At 51.4% G+C, this 15955-nt stretch overlaps 1 annotated feature.

Moving 5' to 3' along the window:
* Positions 12150-12650: an enhancer, noted in NCBI's record as "H3K4me1 hESC enhancer chr12:130597592-130598092 (GRCh37/hg19 assembly coordinates)". NCBI's record gives its function as "activates a minimal SCP1, AML or CMV promoter by ChIP-STARR-seq in primed H9 embryonic stem cells {active_cell/tissue: H9 hESC(primed)}" and the evidence as "EXISTENCE:reporter gene assay evidence [ECO:0000049][PMID:30033119]".

Below are 15955 nucleotides of genomic sequence, written 5' to 3'. Positions count from 1 at the left end.
ACAGGGTCTCACTTTGTCCCCCAGGCTGGAGTGCAATGGTGCCATCTTGGCTCACTGCAGCCTTGACCTCCCAGGTTCAAGCGATTTTCCTGCCTCAGCCCCCCAAGTAGCTGGAACCACAGGCACGCGCCAGCACGTCCAATTTTTTTGTACTTTTTAAAGAGACGGGTTTCGCCATGTCTGTCAGGCTGGTTTCCAACTCCTTTTTTTTTTTTTTTTTTTTTTTTGAGACAGTCTCGCTCTGTCGTCCAAGCTGGAGTGCAGTGGCACAATCTTGGCTCACTGAAACCTCTGCCTCCCGGGTTCAAGCAATTCTCCTGCCTCAGCCTCCTGAGTAGCTGGGCCTACAGGCGCACACCACAACACCTGGCTATTTTTTGTATTTTTAGTAGAGACAGGATTTCACCATGTTGGCCAGGCTGGTCTTGAACTCCTGACCTCCTGATCCACCTGCCTCGGCCTCCCAAAGTGCTGGTATTAAAGATGTGAGCCACTGCGCCTGGCCTGGTTTCCAACTCTTGAGCTGAAGCGATCCACCTGCCTTCCAAGGCGCTGGGATTAGAGGCATGAGTCACAGGCCCCAGCCCCTGTTTCATTCTTTAGAGTGATTATCACTATTTCCAAGGATCCTGTTTTTCTTAGGTCACTTGCCTCTTATGTCACTGCAGCGTAACGGCCTTGAGGACATCATTTGAGTGTCTTTTTTACTTGTTGCCAAGGAAAATGCTTGACAGAGAGTAGGTGTCCAACAGTAGCCACTGGGTGAGTCGGAACGGGTTGTGAAGGTGACCATCTTCATCCTTGGTGTGGGAGCCTCTGGCACCTGCGCCCTGGTGAAGTCCTCTCCCACACGGAGTCAGGAGATAAGAATGCACACCTTCCAAGTTTACACCATCCAGGTCGTTCTCTCCCACACGGAATCAGGAGGTGAGGATGCATGCTTTCCAAGACTACACACTCTAGGCCATCCTCTCCCAAACGGGGTCAGGAGGCAGGTGGGACCCTTTCCAGGCTAGGCATTGGCACGTCTCCAGGAGGTAAGGATGCATGCCTTCCATGACTACACCCCCCTGGCCGTCCTCTCCCACATGGAGTCAGGAGGTAAGAATGCACACCTTCCAAGTTTACACTATCCAGGCCATCCTCTCCCACATGGAGTCAAGAGGTGAGGATGCACGCCCTCCAAGGCTACACCATCCAGATCCTTCTCTCCCACACAGAGTCAGGAGGTGAGGATGAATGTCCTCCAAGGCTACACCATCCAGGCTGTCCTCTCCCACACAGGGTCAGGAGGTGAGGATGCATGTCCTCCAAGGCTATACCATATAGGCCCTGCGGCTCTGCCTGGTCTCCTGGAACACGTGCTTCCAGAGCTTTCAGCCACCACAGAAGAAATACTTCTACCTGAGGCCAGCATGCTGGCGAGGCCATGTGGATAGCCCATAGTCCTAGCTGAGCCCAGCCTTCCAGCCCTCCCTGCCAGGGTGTGAGTGAAGTCACATGGACCCTCCGGAACAGCCTCTTCTCAGAACCAGATACCTCCACATGGGCCCTGTCCAGGCCAAGGAGAAAAGAAGAGTCACCCAGCCCAGCCCTGCTGAATTCCAGACCCATGGAATTGCAAGAAAACCATGTTTTTAAGCTGCTAAATTTTGTATTTGTTAAAGAGCAATAGAAAATCTGAAATCTGAACATTAGGTTATTTATATAACAATGCACCATAAACTGGGTGGTTTATTAATAGCCCATATATATGTATACACACACACACACACACACACACACATTTTTTTTCTTTATCTAGAACAAGCTTGTCCAACCTGTGGCCCATGGCCTGCATGTGGCCCAGGACAGCTTTGAATGCAGCCCAACACAAATTTGTAAACTTTCTGAAAACATTATGAGAAATTTTTGTGATTTTTTTTTTTTTTTTTTTAGCTCATCAGCTATCGTTAGTGTTTGTGTATTTTATGTGTGGCCCAAGACACTCAGTGTGGCCCAGGGAAGCCAAAATTTTGGACATTCCTGCTCTAGAAGTTTCTTCTTCTTCTTCTTCTTCTTTTTTTTTTTTTTTTTTTTTAAAAAAAACTCTAGTGGCCACAAGAAGAAAATAAATGCCTGCCATAAAACAAAAACTTAACAGTTCTAGGAACTTGGGCCTGGCAACCCAACTTTTCATTAAGTCTAAGATACCATTGATTCCATTATTGTTGCCATCTAAGACTAAACCATGACACAGCACCCCAGCTTTAGAGGGTGTTAAATACGAAGAAGGTGTCTTAGAATTAGTGAACAACAGTGAGTTCGCACATCCTAGTGCAAATGGAATCCGGCAATTATTCCCAGCAGAAACGCAGCCCCTGTCGGGAGCCCTGGAGACAGCCTGGCTTCCCTTGCACAGGCATTCACCGTTCAGCCTTGCCATGGCTCTCCAGCTGCTGTTGGACGTTGGGCAAATTGTTAACCTCCCTGAGCCTCAGTTTCCTCATCCAGCAGATGGGGTAACCGTGGAACACACGTCCCCGGGCTGTTGGGAGGATTAAGTGACATGATGCGTGCAAGGCACTTTGCACCATCTCTGGAACCAGCAAGCACTCAGGAAACGCTAGCGATGATGGTGATAATAACGATGGTGATGGCAATGGCTTTTTTTTTTTTTTCTGACATGCCTTCCTTGTCCATGCTGCAGTAACTATTCCATCCTGGCTGAGACTGGGCATGCTTTCTGCTTCGGGTCCTTTCTGCACAGTGGGCAGTTTATAACCTCAGCCAGCTCTGCAGAGGGCAGAATGCCATGGTCCAAATGTTTGTGTCCCTCACAAAATTCCTATGTTGAAATTCTCGCCTCCAAGCTAATGGTTCTAGGAGGTGGAGCCTCTGGGAGGTGATCAGTCATGAAGGTGGAGCCTCGTGGATGGGGTCAGTGCCCTTAGAAAAGAGGCCCAAGGGAGCCCCTTTGTCCCTCCCACCGTGTAACACACAGCAAGGTGCCTGCGTCTATGTGGGAAGGACCCTTGGCAGACACCAATCTGCCTTTATCTTGGATGTCCAGCCTCAGAACTGTGTGAAATAAGTTTCTCTTGCTTGTAAACCACCTGGTCTATGGTAGCTGGTTACAGCAACCTGAACAGGCTGAGACCCACAGATTTACAGCCTCCTCTTCCAGAGTCTGACTCCCTCCCCCTGGTTTTGTCTTTCCTGAAGCCTTCTGCGCCCCGTCCACACTTGCTTCCCCACCCCCCTTTCTCTGCCTTCAGTAGTTGTTTATAATTCAGTTTGAGACAGTAATTTAGAAATGACCTTCTCAAGACCTAGTTGGCATGGGATAAATTATTTTTCCCTAGGGCATTTTATTATTATTTTTGTTTTGTATTATCCTCTTATAATTCATTCACAAAAGCCTGACCTCTCAACAACTTTGTAAACTTCTCATTGACTCCAGGCTACTGACGACTCTTGCTTACCAAATGCAGGCGAAGCTGTTCAGAAGTACAGCGCATCGCTGGAAGATAAGGAATGGATCTTCTGTTGGCAGCATGGAACTGGACCTGGATGACATCAACATTTGCCAATAAATGTGAGTTGAAGCTTTTGTTAAAAAATGGAATATGGAGAGTTGAACCTTCATTCAATAATGATGACAGCATAATGAAGTAGACACTGTTATTTGTCCTGTTGTTCAGATACAGAGACTGAGACACGGGAGAATGAAATGGGGTACTAATGTCGTCCTAGCTACTGTGTAGGATGACACATGGGGTTGGGCTTGGTAGAGGGTATTATGATTATTAGCATGGTTTCCATTACTGCTGTGGTCATTGACGCTGTTGTACTCTGTTTTCCTCCTAGCATTTGGACACATTCTGTCTGCCTGGAGACATTCTGGAAGCACATGCAGGAGAGCCTTGTGTGCCATCTGGCTGCAGTTGGGAAAGGCGAACCTCCCCCGTTTTTGATACTCTTTTTGAACCTTCCCAGTCCACAGAACCCAGTTCCCACATTTTGGGTGGCCAGATTCTCCTCTTCTATGATGGGGAGGACTAAACGCCCTTCACCAACATCCCTCTCAAAAAGCATGGCCGGGAGACTTGCTTTCCTATATCCCTTTAAGAATTTGGGGCTTGATTTTCTCCACTCAGAGGAAGTTGTGATTTAGAAATTTCTGTCCCTCTGTGTCGAACACATAATTAAGATGATGGCCAAGAAATCTGGTCCAATTTTCCAAGTAAAAGCCTGGCCACCGAATGCCCAGCTGTTGATGAAGTTTCCATTTCAGACAGAACTCTAGCCTTGCAAACATTTGGCCCATAAAAGAGTGGATTTTCCCATGGTCAAATGAGTCACTGGGAATATTGACTCGTCTTTTAAAAATCAGAGGTCACTTAAAAAAATTGAGTTGAAATGCATGTAACATAAAATGAACGACTTTAAAGCACACAGTTCAGTGGCACTTAATATCTTCACAAGGTTGTGTAAACACCTCTCTCGACTTCCTAACATTGTCATCGCCCCAAAGGAAAGCCTGAACCTGTGATCGGTCACTGCTCACTCCCCTCTCCCGAACACTCAGCTCCTCCCCCTGGCTCCTCTGCTTTCTGTCTCTGCAGATTTTGCCTCTTCTGGGCATTCCGTGGAGGTAAAATCACATGCTACGTGGCCTTTTGTATCCGGCGTCTCTTATCATGTTTTTGGGGTTCACCCATGTTGTAGCATGGATCAGCGCTTCCTCCCTTTCTGTGACTGGATGATATTCTGTTGTGTGGATGGACCACAGTTGTGTATCTATTCGTCCACTGATGGTCATCTGGGCTGTTTCCACGGAGATCGCTTTTAAGGAGAGATCAGAAACAGCTCTGGGCTCAGGGGCACTCTGTGAGCTTTTCTGTTACTCCCCCCAGTCCCCCAGGGGATCCAGTTCACACAGAGGTGTTGAGAGAGTCGGTCCCCACCGTCTCCACAGACCGCAGACCATGGAATCTGATGGTGGACATATGTGAGGCTCCAGAGAGGCGCCTGCAGTGCGGGAGGGCGTCGGTGGAGCCTGGCAGCCCACCCCACCCTCAGAACAGCTTTTGGCCTCAGGAGCAGCTGCAGAATTCAGGCCCCGCCCTGCAGTGACCAGCCTGTCCGGGCTCCGGGGTTCAGTCCAGGTCAGGCCCCACGGCCGCTGGTATTGGGCCGGGCTGCCAGGTCTGGAAGTGCTGGGGAGAAGGAGACTGCAGCCAGGCACCCGCAGGGCTGGGCTGTTACGGTGGGATCGTGAGAAGGGCCCTGAACAGGGATCTGAGCCCCCTGTTTAGCTGCATTCCTTAAAAGTGGTTGTGAGTAGACGGGGTCTCTAGGTTGAGGTGTGAGCTCCCGTCCCCTCCGTGATGCCTCACAGGGCTTGTTGTGCGCGAGGGAATGGTGTCCTCCGGCCCAGCACACGGGCAGCATCCAAGGCACTGGGTCAGGCGACCAAGGAGCTACCTGCACTTTCGCCAGCCCAGACAGGGGACGGGACACCGGAGGTCTGCTGCCAGTGGGGCTTGCGTGTCCCCTCTGAGGCCAGACCTGGGGGTCTGCACGGTGCAGGGAGGGCGCAGCTGGAGAGGCCTGTGTGACCCCCGTAGAGTGTGTGGGTGTGGGTGTGTGTTTCACAGTGTGTGAAGATGCATGTGGGTGTGTGTGAGGATGTGTGTGTGTGCATGGGTGTGTGTGTAAATGAATGCCCCACTGTATGCATGCCTGTGAGCGTGTACGTGTGTAAATGTGGGAGTGAATACGAGTGTGGGATTGCGTGAGGGTGTGAGAGAGAGGATGTCTGTGTGTGTAAGGGGAACAATCTTAGCCTACACGGCAAGTCGGCCATAACCACAGCGACGCTCCCCACGTGTGGGGCTGCTGTGTGGATGGTGCTGGGCCTGGCGATGGGATGTAACTTGCACCCTGGCTTGGAGGGGTGTGTCACGGGGGGTGTGTCACGGGGTGTGTGTCACAGGGTGTGTGTCACGGGGGGTGTGTCACGGGGTGTGTGTCACGGGGTGTGTGTCACGGGGGATGTGTCACGGGGGGTGTGTGTCACGGGGTGTGTGTGTCACGGGGGGTGTGTCACGGTGGCTCCATGAGAGGCCTGAGAGCAGCAACCACAGCCAAGTGAGCAACCCTCAGCAGACAGCAGTGTCCCAGCAGTGAGCCGCTACTACACACCAGCCGTGTGCCCAGCTCTCCCCAGGGCCCCAGATCCAACACAAAGGAGAGGGAGCCGCGCTCATCTTCATGGAAGGGGATGAAGCCAAACCCGCCGTCGTCACTGAGGAGGGCTGCGTGGGAGGCGGTGCCGATGGGGTGGAGGTGAGGATGACATGAAGGGTGGCACCCTGCATTTTTGAGCTTTCTCTGTGCCAGGCACCAGGTTTCAATCGTGCCTCCTTAAACCTGCACCCAGCCCTGCAAGCTAGGTGGTATCACCATCCCACGTCACAGTTGAGGGGCAGAGGAGCCTTGGGGACAACTAGGAACTTGCCCTAACTGCCCTCTTGCGCCAAAGTGAAAAGCGGGGCTGGAAGGGAGCTCCAGAACTTGGAGCTCATATAATCTCTGGCAGAGCCACGCCAAAAAGTACAACCTTAGGGGCCCCATCTGCTGAGGCCAAGGATACCATCTCCTGCCCACATTGCTACACCCCAACCCCGGGTGCCCCCAAGCTAACTAGACTGCAAGTTGCCTCTCGTGACTTTTAAGGGAAAACGAGAGAAGGAGAGTTCATCCACAGCCATGATTCCTTTGATCCCCTCACCTCTCCTTAATTGCATCGGGAGTTCATGCCTTTGTGTGTTGGGGGCGATTACTCTAATTTCTTGCAGCCCAGCGAGAAGTAAGACATTGGTTTTTGCCAAAACTTGCTGTGTGAGCTGCCAGGGATGTCACATCCGGAAATTTTGTGATGAAGAAACTTTTGAAAAAAATTAAAAATCAAAGGGAAGTTTGGGGAAACAGGGCCAGGGGATTTTCGTCTAGTTTCGCCCCAGGAGCTGCTCTCACACCCGCCTGCCCTGTAATCTTCTTGATTCGTTCTGCTGGAGGCAGGCGGTCTAGGAAAAAGCTGAAGCAGGGGCAGAAAGGGAACGTGAGTGAGAAGCAGGTCTGCTGGGGGCCAAAGGAGGCGGGGAAGAGATTGGATGGGGGTTTCTTGGGGGATCCAAACCCTAATCTGGGTGTGGGCAGCTCTCAGGACAGAGTGCTTCCTGTCTGGAGTCCAGTTGCTGCACCTGGTCCCTGTGTTCATGCCGGACTCTCCCAGGGCAGGACCCTCCCAGCCTAGTGGCTGACTGGCATCGGGGGCAGGGCAGGAGAGGGACTCTGGCCGCGTGGGTCTCCTGTGGCTGCTGTAACAAATAACCACCAACTGGATGGCTTAAAACAACACAACTTGACCTGGTACAGTGGCTCACGCCTGTAATCCCAGCACTTGGGGAGGCTGAGGAAGGAGGATCATTTGAGCTCAGGAGTTCAAGTCCAGCCTGGACAACACAGCAAGACCCCGTCTCTACAAAAAATAAAAAAAGAAAAATTAGCCAGGCTTGGAGGTGCACACCTGTGGTCCCAGCTACTCGGGAGGCTGAGGAGGGAGGATAACTTGAGCCCAGGAGGTTGAGGTTGCCATGAGCCGTCATTGCACTATTGCCACCATTGTTGCACTTCAGCCTGGGCCACAGAGCGAGACCCTGCCTCTAGAAGCAAAAACAAAAAAGCAACCAACTTCATTTTCCTACAGCTCTGGAGGCCGGAAGTCTGCAATGAGTCTTTCAGGGCTGAAATCAGGGCTGGCTGCACTCCTTCCAAAGGCTCCCAGGAGAGTCTGTTTCCAGCCTTTTGCAGTTTCTGGAGCTGCCTGCATAACGCAGCTTTCGACCCCTTCCTGGGATCACTCTGGCCTCTTGCTTCCTCCTCTGACCTTCCTGCCTTCCTCCTCAAGGACTCCTGTGATTACATTATCCAGGATCATCTCCTCATCCCAGAGTCCTTAATCACAACAGCAAAGTCCCTTTTTCTATGTCAGGTGACATGTCCAGAGATTCCAGGGATTAGGATGTGGACATCCTTTGGGGGAAACTACAGGCTCAAAACCAAAAGGGAAACAGCCCACTCGAATGGGGTCTCTCCCCCGTGCTTCTTACAGTGAGAATCTGCCTCCCTTTCTGCTCACCCTAGATTTCAGAGCCAGCCTGGGGTGCTCAGGCCAGGAGTAGCACACGTACACAAGTGGCTCGAGCCTGACCCCCTCTTTGGGGCCCCTGGTGCTCGTGCCCCAGCCACAAGGCCGGTTCTCAGAGTGGAGCTGTCTTGGAGGCTCTCATTTGCTGTGAAGGAATAATCCTGGACAAATGCTTTTCATTAAGGAGCCCACGAGACACAATATCAACCTAGCAAGAGGATTAGGCTTTTGCAATGTAAACAACCTAACTATAGAGGAAAGAGACCCTGGCTTTCTATGAAGCTACCTGGAAAACAGCAAATTTCTTTAAAAAAAAACACACACACACACAACAACAACAACAACAACAACAAAAAACAAGCAAACAAACCCTACTAGGTTTCCAAAGTGAGGGGGCAGACAGGGCCCCACCTCCACAGCTCAGGTCTGGGAGCCCCTGCGCCATGCAGCCCCGCCCACCCTCTGCCCTGCTGGGTCTCAGAGATGCCAGAGGAGTTCCTGGGAATTCCCCTGGTACTCTGCCAGCCCAGCAGCCCTCCCACCACGCCCTCTCCCCTGAGGCAAACAGCACCCTAACCCTTCCAGAACATTCTTTGTAGTCACAGAGACAGGGCTGGCCTGGCTGGGTGGATTCAGAGCCCCCGCCTCCTCTGCAGCCTCTTCTCGTCCCCCACCCTCCCACCCAGCTTCACGTCCAGAGAAGGTTGTTCATCCCTCAATGAGGTTGCGCCTGCAGCCCCTGCAGGTGGGAGGAAGGGCCCGTCAAACTCCCAGACCCCCAGCTTCAGCCTCCTGGAAGCGCTTTCTAAAATGAGTCTCATAGTTCCTTATAAACCGCACGATTATCTCTAGGAAGTGGCACTGGAGCGGTGGCCTTCAAACAGAATTAAATCTTCGAGGTATAAGTAGCAAATCGCTCTCCTTCCAGCCCCGTTGGCTTCAGACCTTCCTGAGAGCACACCACTGCTTCTTTTGAAGAAACCCTGGTGTTCCAGGTTGGGCAAAGTCAAGTCAACTCTCACACTTTCTGAGTGCAGGAAAATAAAATACACTACAATTTTGAAATCTTATTTTGGCCCATATTTCATGTTCTTTTTATTTATTTACTTATTTATTATTATTATTTTTTGAGATGGAATCTTGCTCTGTCACCCAGGCTGGAGTGTAGTGACTCGATCTCAGGTCACCGCAACCTCCACCTCCCAGGTTCAAGCTATTCTCCTGCCTCAGCCTCCCGAGTAGCTGGGATTACAGGCATGCGCCACCACGCCTGGCTAATTTTTGTATTTTTAGCAGAGACAGAGTTTCAGCATGTAGGCCAGGCTGGTCTCGAACTCCTGGCCTGAAGTGATCCACCCGCTTCGGCCTCCCAAAGTGATGGGATTACAGGTGTGAGCCACCGTGCCTGGCCCCATATTTTGTTTTCTAAACAGACTGTGACAAACTTGAGAGCAGGCCCTGGGCCCCTGGTGACCTTCCAGTGGGGACCGCAGACCCCAGCCCGCACCGCCCTTGCTCTGGCTCTGAGATGGCCGTGTGTTTCGGAGGAGAGGGATGACCTGCAGCTGGTAGGGCCCCAGGCCAAGCCCGGCCTCTGGTGCCTCTGCTCCAGGGTCAGCAGCCCCCATGGGGAGGTCAAGGGTCTGCCCTGCCCTTGGGCCAGCCCAGGGGGCATGCCAAGCTCCTCCTGGCCTCTCTGCAGGGGCTCTGTCAGGCCTCCCTGCTCTTTGAAGCCACAGCCTCAACCCTGCAGCTCTGGAGAAAGGCTGGGCAGGTCAGTGAGGGGAAGCCTGAGCCGGCTCATGCTCCAAGATAGTGTGAATGAGACACACAGCCCAGGCCGCCTCTGTATGGCAGGCCCGGAGCCCTGCCCATCTGCCCAGCTCGCAGACGAGCCGAGTGAACCCCTAGAAGCACCCAATGGTACCCTCCACTGTGGAGAGCTGGCCGTAGAACAGTGTTTGTCCCCAGGGACCTTCCTGCAGGCAGTTGCTGAAGTCTCAGCCTATTCACCCAATAAGTGTTTGGGGAGCCCCTCCTGCCTGCCGGGGACAGGCTAGGTTCTGGGTGCAGCTCGGAGCCACACAACATCCTACCCACGGACCTTCCAGCCCAGTGAGCGGAATCCTGACCCTGCCTCCAGCTAGACCTGCAGATAGTTCCATGCCCCAAGTCCCGGGCAGGGGTCCTGACAGCATCTACCGTCTAAGAGTGGGACAGACGGCAGAGGGGGCTTGCGGGAGGCGGCGTGGCCAGAGCCTGCTGCCTGCCGCATCCACGCAGGCTTCTATGAGCAAATGCTTTCTCAGGCAAACGAAACAGACTCCTCCAGGCTGAAGCTGAAGCCGGAAGATGAGCAGGCGTTGTGCGCAGCTGCCCAGGAATGAGGGAGGAGGGTCTGGGCATGGGAACTGGAGGGAGAGAGGGAGGGCAGGCAGTCACGGCCGACACGGAGGGCACACAGCCCACCTGCCCGCCACCGCCCTAAACTCTGTGCACACATCGGCCATTTCAGTCCAGGCCCTGCGTGGTCGGCCCAATTGTTGCCCCCACGTTGCAGACGAAGAAACTGAGCCCTGAGAGGCTGAGAAACCTCCTTCGGGTCACAGAGCTTGTGGGTGGCAATCGGGTTTCTAGCCCTGGCATTCTGCCACCAGAGCTTTCTGTATCTATTATAAAGTAAGATATAATCCACAAGCCACAAAATTCACCAGTTTAATATGTAAAAATTTCATGGTGTGTTTTTTTTTTTTTTTGTTTGTTTGTTTTTTTTTTTTTTGAGAAGGAGTTTCGCTCTTGCCGCCCAAGCTGGAGTGCAAGGCGTGATCTCGGCTCACTGCAACCTCCGCCTCCTTGGTTCAAGCGATTCTCCCGCCTCAGCCTCCTGAGTAGCTGGGATTACAGACATGTGCCACCATGCCTGGTTAATTTTTTGTATTTTTAGTAGAAACGGCGGGGTTTCACCATGTTAGCCAGGCTGATCTCGAACTCCTCATGGTTCTTAAAATATTCACGGGTCTGGTGATTATGGGCACTACCAAACTTTAGAACATTTCCATCACCCCCAAAAGAAACCACGTACCGACTGAGCAGTCACTCCCCACGTCCCCGTCCCCTCACCCAGCCCGTGGCACGCAGTCCTCTCCTTCCAGTCTGCACAGGCTTTCCTCCTCTGGACACTTTACACACATGGACTCAGGCCATGTGGCTTTCCGTGTCTGGCTTCTGTCTCCAAGCATGTTTTCCCGGCTCCTCCAGGCTGTTGCTTGTGTTGGTGACGCATTCTTTTTCGTGGCTGAATCATATTCCGTCACATGTGTACACCACGTTTATTCATCCAGGCATCCATTGAAGGACTTTGGGGCTGTTTCCACATTCTGGCTCCTGGAAATGGTGCTGCTGTGAACATCCCTCTGTGTGTGCATCTGGGTGAGGAAACGCGCTTTCATTTCTCTTGGGTGGACTGGTCAGGTCATGGGGTTCTTCTGAGTTTGACCTTTTGAGAAACCACCAGACTGTTCCACACAGCAAACACCCGTCCTTTCATGGGCACTCCTCTGTATGACCCCAACAGATGCCGCCAAGGAGGCACCGTTAGCATTGGGGCTGATGGACACCATGCCACCAGATCCCACCGGTTGTGGACACAGTCCTATTCCCCAGCTGACCTGACAGTGGAGGCCTTGAGGCTGAGTCACCCCTACAGTCTTCCCTGCCCCAAGGTTGTGCTGCTCTGCAGGGACGGCAGGCCTCTGGGGGCATGTAGGTGCATCCCCTCTCCTCAGCGTCAGAGGACTCTGCAGGGCCCGGTGTCAGGGACTCTGGGGGTTGCTGCTGCTTCCATGGGGCTGCACCTACCTCGATGTTTCCCATCACCCAGCCTGCCTCTTTCCTCCCCAGCAGGTGCTGTCCCACACCCCTCCGGCTGTGTAAAGAATCCTTCCAAACTCTGGGGGCTTAGAGCACGGTCATCTTATTATAAATGACAGAATTCTAGACACATTGGAGTGGTTTCCATGCAGAAAGAGGGTGTGGGGCTGGCACCCGGGGAATACGCAGCTGGGCCTGGAGCACTGGGCTCTCTGGGCCGTTCCAGCTCTCGGCAGCTGCTCCATGCGAACCTCCAGAGTATGCCCCAGAGCACCTGGACTCCCTGCACGGTGGTGCACACATCCTAAGTGTGCCTGCTGAGAGCACTGGCAGAGGATGTGTCACCTTTCACAGCCTAGTCTTGGAAGCCAGGCAGCCCTGGTCCTGCTAGACTTCATTAGAAAGACAGGCACAGAGATCCAGTTTAAGGGGAAAGGGCATGTTTTAAATACAGTGTATAATAGAACATTTGAAGTATAGTAAGGCCAACAAATCAGGAGATGACGGCCTTTGAAAAGATAGTTTGTTACAGTTCCCAAGAGGAGGGGACATGCCACACCATGCCAGGCCATGCCAGGCCACTCGGGAGCACCAGATAGAGCAGGAGGCAGAGGCAGAGGGAGAAGCTGTGGGCCAGAGCCTTTCTGGGAATTTCTGTAGGAGGAGCAGGTGATAGGGTTTGGCTGTGTCCCCACCCAAGTCTCATCTTGAACTGTAGCTCCCATAATTCCCATGTGTTGTGGCAGGAACCCAGTGGGAGGTAATTGAATCACAGATGTGGGTCTGTCTTGTGCTGTTCTCGTGGTAGTGAATAAGTCTCACGAGATCTGATGGTTTTACAAAGGGCAATTCCCTTGCACACCCTCTCTTGCCTGCCGCCATGTAAGACGTGCCTTTGCTCTTCATTCACCTTCTGCCATGACTGTGAGGCCTCCCCAGCCATGTAGACCTGGGAGTCCACTAAACCTCTTTCCTTTATAAATTACCCAGCCTCGGGTATGTCTTTATTAGCAGCATGAAAATGAACTAATGCATCAGGCAAGGCAGGGTAAGCGTGCTTATCATTGACTGGCCTGAGTAACTCCGGTAGGTACTGGGCCTAGGAGCCTCCCTGGTTGTCTGGTGCCTGGTCTTGGCATGATTGGAACAGGTGGATAATGATCCAGGGTGTGAGAGCCCCGCAGAGGAGTGGTTGGGGTATGGACTCTGGATTGACTGGTTTGCATTTGAAAACAGCACTTGCCGGTGGATTGTTCACTACTGCTAGGCATTGGCTAAGCCCGGGAGGGCCCGTCTCTCCAGGGTCAGCAAGGCCCCGATGTCAAAGCCTCAGGGTACAGAAAATAAAATACACAGTCAATAGAGCATAGACCCCACCCCTTGTTGGAGGACTCACCAGTGCTGGGATGGGAAACACTGCTGAGGCTATTTCTGGCACATACCATGTGCTGTGGGTATTGACCCCAGGGGCATTCCCTGCTAGACATCTGGAGTGATGCTTTCTGGTTTGGTCTCTGCTTCCTGGAGATACAACCAACTAATTTACAGACAAGAGAGAGGAAGGAGTGAAAAATGCTGTCTGGAGACAAAGAGCAATGCACCCATTATCAAAAAGGAGGAACAAAATAAATTACACTGGCTGGAGGTACAGTGGGCCGGCACAGAAACAGATGAGTGACTCTTCCACAACGCATCCGGCTGTGCTGGATGCCGGGGAGAAGACGTGAGGCTGTGTGTCTGAGCTCACCCAGCATTCACACCTGCTTGCACCTGGGAGGTCTTCGATCAACCTCTGTCAATGGAATGAATGACGCCATTCCTGGCCTCTTCAAACTTAGAAATGGAACCAACTGATATGCCAGATAGCCGGCTTTCAAAACATTTACTCTCTAGAGATACTTAGATGTCTTTAGCTTCTTGCGAATTCACCTTCCTCACATGTAAAATGGAGAAGACACCAGGACCTACCTCAGGGCATCACAAAAGTCAATGGGACAGATAGAAAGCTCTGTGCTTGGTCCAGCACCCGGAACATTGCAAGTGTGCAATGGATATTACCTGTGATTATTCTTTCCGAAGGTAGGCACATCACTAAAAGTTCATTTTCACCAAAAGTCCTAAACTTGATTTTGTGCAGCCAACAGAGAAATTGTCCCTTTATTAAGTTAATTTCAACTTAATGGGTTGGCCCTAGATCCTAAAGAAGGGAACAACTTGCTCACAGCCTCCCTGTCCTTGATAGGATTAGATAAGAAGCTACGTGCAAAGTGCAGCATAGAGCTGGACATGTAGTAAGTGCTCCATAAATCTTTATGACAATTACCAATACTCTTCAAGAGAATTACATCATGTATTGATTATAGGTGAGAAGTATTCCTGCCCATTTTTCTCCTGAAATGCTCTTTAAGCTCAGTGCTGCTAAGGTCTACGAGTCATATCTGATCTCCAAACGTTTACAACTGCTAAGAAAAATAAAACTTGTGGAGCATGAAACAGAGGGAAAACACACGTGGGGAATGGCCCATTAATCTCTGTCAGTCGGGAGATGCCAACGACAGACCTTAGGCGAAGGGGAAGGGATCATAGGGCTGTTTTCTCTTAAGCACATGTTTTATGTTAGAGATCTGGTAACTAATAAAAGTGCTCCTTAGAGGGGGAAAAAAAGGATGAGTGTAGTATAGTTGGTAAGTTGCCTGTATAATGTGGCGCTCGTGAAATACAAGTTAATTTTTGCAAAAATCAAATCTGCTACTTAATTTCATGCAGTAATAGAGAGGCAAACCTACATTGTATTTCCTTTAATTTCATTGTGCATTTACACAGGGACAGTTAATATGGAGGACATCTCAAGGAGAAATCGATCCACTCAATGATTTTATGAATTATATCACAAACATTATAGTTTCTTCTAAATTTCTGCTCCAAAGTTGTTTTTTTCTTTCTCCTTTTAAAACTGCCCCTGACAATGGGGTGGTGGGGAGGTACCTCAGAGGTCACGGTTCTAGAGCACAGTCAAAGAAAGGTGCTTGCTGATGCGTGAGGTGGGGAGGAGACTGAGGTCTGCAAAGGACGGGGAAATGATATTAAAAATAAGATGCAGTAATGGTTGGATAGAGGGATGGATAATGAGGAGACATGTGATAGATTGAACTGGGAAAGTGTTAATGGTGAAAAGGGTACATGCTACCCATGGGTGCAGTGGGTATTTGTGCTGTAAATCTTCCAACTTGAATGCATGTTTTAAAGTTGCTGTCGTAAAATGCTGTAAAGATAGGGTCTTGAAGAGTATGTTCTGCTGCTCTGTTCTGCTGCTGGTTACGAACTCTTGCTGTTCAGAAGGGGGGACAAAGCAGGAAGAGTTGTCAGCACTGAGTAGTGGGGATGTGTGGTGTTTGTTTCTGTTATGGAGGGAGATTGAGGAAGGTCTGCATATTCAATATTTACAAGTGGAGGATATGGACGTCAGCTACCTCATCTAAAATGTATCTAAAAATCAGCAGGATGAATGGAGAGAGGGCTCCCACTTGTAGTGCTAGAGGAAAAGCTGAGTGTTCTTGCGGATGCTTGAACTTCGCTGAATTTTCATTAAATTGTAGAAAGCGCAGAAAAGGGCCCACCCACCCCCACAGCGACTGAGGGGTCAGGAGGCCAGGAGCACAGGCCGGGCTTCCCATCTTGGCTCTACTGCTTGTCGGCGGTGGGGTCCTGGGCAAATGTTACTCTTGGAATGTAAGCAGATTCACTTTCCTCAAAACTGATAAAAAACAGCAGAGCCCACAGAAAGAGAGTGGGGACCCAACGTGGAAACCCAGGAGGTGCGGAGTGGCTGGACCTGGGCCTGGCTTCTTGCTTCACTTTTCTTTGCGTGTCTTTGCCACACACTCCGCT

This window comes from Homo sapiens, chromosome 12 (genome assembly GCF_000001405.40).
Source record: "Homo sapiens chromosome 12, GRCh38.p14 Primary Assembly".
Lineage (NCBI taxonomy): Eukaryota > Metazoa > Chordata > Mammalia > Primates > Hominidae > Homo > Homo sapiens.
Note: the sequence above shows the minus strand (reverse complement) of the source record. Positions and strands in the feature narration are given on the sequence as shown.